A 5296-nucleotide genomic window follows, 5' to 3' on the forward strand; every position below is an offset into this window, starting at 1 on the left:
TGGCTCTTAGTCTTGCAGCAGAATCTGAGGCATTTTTTCCACCTATTGTGGTTATTCCAAATGACACATGACTTGCCCCCAAATGGCCATCTACTCTTCTTATAAAAAAACCAACGCTATAAATTGCTTTCTCATAGACCCAATAAATATGGGGCTCTTGGAATGGATTAAAATATGTTATTGACTTTCTGAGTATATTCTAATGACAGAGAAGTTGCTTTTGAAATCTTTTGGGAGTTTATTAAGGTTCATAACAATTCTTGTATTTCTCTGCAGAGTTGGAGATTATATTTACACACACATGCAAGTGCAGTGACAAACATTCAAAAGTTTAAATACCAAATTTTAGTAGTATTTTTCAGTGGTAGAATTATGCATGCTTCTTATGTTTTCCTTTTTGTATATCTGCATTTCATAAGCTTGTTTGTTATAAAATTTAATCAAATGTATTTTACTGAGAAACTGTATGCAAAAAAAAGGAGAGCGAGAAAAACAAGGTGGGAGAGAGAAAAAGAGCAAGTGAGCGAGAGAGAGAGGAAGAGAATGAAAAGGAGTAAATATTGAAATCTGCATTTGAATTTCTTAATAGATTTTCTCTGCAGTCATTCTTGAATTGCTGTTACCCAAAGCGCTTTGTGCTTCCATTTTCTGGTGACAATGCCATCTGTGGCTTCTCTGTATCTGTAGTAGAAAGGCATGGTAAGTCAATGTCCATAGCGTGCCTCAAGGATTACAAAAGCCATCATCGAAAAGCAGTTATGTTCTTAATGAACATTCCCCTGAAAAGGAGCAAACCTGAAGCCTGAGGCTATTGCATATTCTGACTTTTTAGATATTGTCATTTTTAAGACAATAGAGTCAAATAACTCTAGCACAGGGATGCAGAAAAGATAATATCTGTTCTACTCTACACCTCTTAAGACACCTGAAGTTCAGAGAGGGGATGTGATTTACCCAAAATGATCCACCTCTTCCTATGAGAGCTCCTTCTCCACCTTTTCCTGGCTTCCTTGCTCAATGGCAACAACTCTGTATTCTCAGTTTTCTCGTTAGTCAGTTTTCAGAAGCTGTGTTTGTACTACATTATCCAGATAAATAGGACCAAAAGCAAAAATACCTTGGAAACAAAGCTGCATCTCATTTCTACTGCCATAGCTACCTTGCTTAATGACCTAAATACACCATCACTTAGGTCAGGATATTGTTTATTCAGGGAAGAGAGTGTTATTGAAAAGAAGTGAGCACCATCCATGCAGGGAAACACTGCTCTTAACACACTACCAGCGGAGATGTCAGGGGATGGGGAGAAAGGGAGTAGTAGAGTGTCGGATAGCAAGTTAGGAGAACTCAAGAGACTTTTCATATTTAAGACACAGAAAGAAAAATTTGCAGTCTCCAATCTGCTCAGTTCACCCAGGCTATCAAGAGCAGGCCAAAGCCAAGGGGTCGCCCATTGGGCTTTGTCCTTTTGAAATAAATCCCAGCTGCATTGTTTTAACAGTCCAGGCCTGGGCTGCCAGACTTACACTGATTTTTATTAACTGAAGCTTGTTGGTTTCCTACAGTTGCTATAACAAATTACCATGAACTGGATGGCTTAAGACAATGGAAATTTATTCTCTCACAGTTTTGATGGTTAGGAGTCCAAAATCCAGGTTTGAGGAGGGTTGATTTCTTTTGAGGGCACTGAGAAAGAACCTGTTCCATGCCCCTCTCCCAGCTTCTGGCTGTTGCCAGCAATCCTTGGTATTCTTTGGCTTGTAGATGGATCATGCCAACCTCTGTCTCTGTCATCACATGGTTCTCCTCACATCTGTCTGTCTGTCTCTCCTCTTCTTTTTGTTTTGTTTTGTTTTGAGACAAAGTCTCACTCTGTCGCCCAGGCTGGAGTGCAGTAGCACCATCTCTGCTCACCGCAACCTCCGCCTCCTGGTTCAAGCAATTCTCCTACCTCAGCCCCCCGAGTAGCTGGGATTACAGGCACACACCACTGCACCCGGCTAATTTTTTGTATTTTTAGTAGAGACAGTGTTTCACCATGTTGGCTAGGCTTGTCTTGAACTCCTGACCTCAGGTAATCTGCCTGCCTTGGCCTCCCAAAGTGCTAGGATTACAGGCATGAGCCGCCGCACCCAGCCCTCTTCTTGTTATAAGGACATCATTCATATTGGATTAAGGTCCCACCCTACCCCAGTATCACCTCATATTAATACTTATATTTGCAATTACCCTATTTCCCAACAAGGTCACCTCCTGAGGTCCTGAAGGTTAGGACTTCAACACATTTTCTTGGGGGACAAAATTCAGCCCATAACAGGGAGCAATGGGCTTAAGTGAGCAATGGGCTTGCTTCCTTAATTGAGAAGAGGGTTGTGTCCAGTTGGAATGATCAAATGTGGCACTTTTGACATTGATTTGTGAGTCAGTGCTCCATGAGATATAAGGAAAGGGCAGTAAAGGGAATGCTCAGGGCATTTAAGAGAAGGTAAGGATAAATCCATAGTGGCTGAGCTGTGAGTCTGGGCAAAGCTAATGGTTGGAGCAGGTGAGCCACCCCAGCAGTAGTTCCTGAGGCTCAGACACACCTCAAGAGGAGAGTTGGTTGCTGGAAGACCAAGTAGGCCCATGGAATGGAGGAACTTAAGTTCATCTGTGGAAATATTTAAATGGTTGGGATCAGCTGCCCTCAAGATTGATAACTCTAGCCTATGCCTGCCTGTTTGCCATTATCTTTTGAGAATTCCTGCAAATATATATGAAGGTCGCCATGCTACCCTTCTTCCATGACTCATTAGAGCAAGGGTTGCAAATGAAAAGACCTACAGGAGCCAGGAAATAAGAGAAATGAGTGAAGTGGGCTGGGTATAGAATTCTGAAAGTCCATAGATTTTTAGTAATTAATTGGTACTGGGCCTCACTCCTAGAGAGGATTAAGGGAGTGTTAGAGATTGTATCAAACTAAAGAGTATATGCACCATCTGCAGAAAGAGCCACTTGGCTAGAACTGCCATGGGTAACGGTGCATGATTGCAATTACCCTATTTCCCAAGCAACTGTGCACAAGGGCTTTGGCTATGGAATCAAAAAAGCAAGTGAAATTCAGCTTGCTCTCTTCTCACCAAGCTGTGACCCCACTGGCCTCCCTCAGCCCAGTGGGGCACCTTTTTTATAATTTGTGCAAAAGTGCAATGTAGGCAGAGGGCAGCCCTGGCTCCAGTTCATTGTTCGCAGTCTAGAGTGTAGGCTATGTATTTCTAGATGTTTGGATTTTTGAAAAGAAACTGGAAATATGCATCTTCATGTGTGATCTCCTAATTTTTAAATGTTGGCTCAAATGTTGAAACCCCCTGCACGGGCCAGTGAATCCATGCCATCAGCTCTGTACTGACACTATGTGAGTCTTTTGTGGTAGGAAAAGTGGGGGCGGGGGTGGCATAACACCAACATACAAGCTTGTTGTTAGAGGGCTACAGGTGAGGGTATTGATAACCCTTGCCTCCTAGAGAATTTCAGGATTAGTTACAGTAGCCCAGGGCCCAGTCAGCCCTAGCCTGACCTATCAAAGCAACCCCTTTTGAACATCTTCTGAGTGTGAATTTCTAGTGTGAATGTTTGTGAATTACTAGCTATATCACCTTGGGCAAGTCATTTGACTTTTCTAAATATTTGTTTTATTTCAGCATCAAAGAAAACTCTTTTGGAAGCTTCTTACCATGATTAAATAAGATAAATCTATGAATCACCTGGCATGGCTGTTATCCAATACAGCATTCGCTATTATTTTCAAGACTTGGCTTTGAGAGCGCACTGGTACCTTCTTCACAAGGATGGGCTGCAGCTGCACTCTTATTCTTTTCCCAATCAGATTATCCTCTTGAGAAACAAAGCCTAACAGTCCTACCAATGATCATTGCAGCATTCACCTGTGGGGAACAGTAACCTTCATCATCACCTACTATTTACAAGCATGACATAAATAGTTATATTAAATATCATGAAGGGAACTTGAAGATGATCTGCATCAATTTCCTCATTTGCCAGATGAGAAAACAAAGCCTCACAGAGAAAAAATACTCATCCATTGCCACACAGCTAAATATTAACAGAACATGAAATGCAGTTTATATTTGTGTTTTTAACTTTGAGCTTAAAAGAAGTTTATGCTTTTAAATGAAACTTTAAACATTGTAGATATTATTTCAAGCAACACTAAGTAATAAATGTGTTCTTACTTGATTTGACAGTGAAATACAAATTTTCCAATCTGAAATAAAATGTAAACATAAAAATATGTGGCCCAAACCCCACCCCTCATTCTCCACCCCACCTTTGAAGGAAATAGATTGTATTGGAAACATCTTGCATTGGGATGTAATAAAAGTTTATATTTAGCTTTCTTAAGTGGAGGGTTTGCTTTGATCTCTTTTGGGGGGGAACCTGGGAACAATGTGCTTGTACCTTCCATATGGACATGTTGTGAGGATTAAATGATCAGTGCCTGGTACTCCATTAGTCCTCATTCCATGGTAGCTTTGATTCTCTTTCTTATTTCTGCACACTGTGCTCTATGCCCCATTCCTGGCCAGAAAAGGTATTACGGATGCTATACTTACATACTATGCTATGAGCCTTTTGGGGCCAAATCAGTGTGTTTTATTTTGTTTAGATCTGGAAGCTAGTACAAGACATCATCATGAACACACTAAGTAAAAGTTTATTAAATTTAATTGATTTATTATGCTGCATTCCACTGTAAGAATTCAGATTGTACTCAGAGCACAAATTCATTTACGCATTTGTTTGTTGGTATGTTTATATCCCTACCACATGCTACAAAGGATTAAGACTACTCACACCAAAAATATAAATATTATTCTCAAGAAACTCAAGTTGTTGTTGCTTAAATAAAAGACCAGAATAAAACACTAGCATGTAATTTATGAAATAACTGCCTCCTTGCACTCTGAGGACTGGTATACTTACTGGGCTTCTCTCAGATGACAGCTCACACACTATATGATGGTTTAAAAGAAGGACTCATGGCCTGGAATCAGGGGACCCAGATCAGGAACTTTGAGCAAGTCAAAGTTCTTCAGGTCTACTTTGACACAACTAGGGTGATTCTTCACCAAATCTTCTCTAAGGTGCTTGGAGGAGCAAATATTTCAGTGGTGGCTTGTTTTAAATGTTGCTCCGGTTCTCTTCTAGATAAAATAAATCTTATGACCAGCCCCTATTTGACCAGCCAGTGGGGAATGCTCCCATGCAGGCTCCATCATCCAGAGCAATGAGGATT

The 5296-nt window shown here is 40.8% G+C and overlaps 1 long non-coding RNA gene across 1 annotated transcript; it reads right to left on the minus strand.

Annotated features, from left to right (window-relative positions):
* Positions 1-218: 218 nt before the first annotated feature.
* LOC124902654 (uncharacterized) lies at positions 219-4325 on the minus strand. The gene is made up of 2 exons (XR_007062635.1): positions 3744-4325; positions 219-681 (listed from the first exon to the last, which is right to left on the minus strand). It is a non-coding gene; the product is annotated as an uncharacterized LOC124902654 (long non-coding RNA).
* Between the last annotated feature and the right edge of the window lie 971 nt (positions 4326-5296).

The sequence above is a fragment of the Homo sapiens genome, chromosome 11, assembly GCF_000001405.40.
Source record: "Homo sapiens chromosome 11, GRCh38.p14 Primary Assembly".
NCBI lineage: Eukaryota > Metazoa > Chordata > Mammalia > Primates > Hominidae > Homo > Homo sapiens.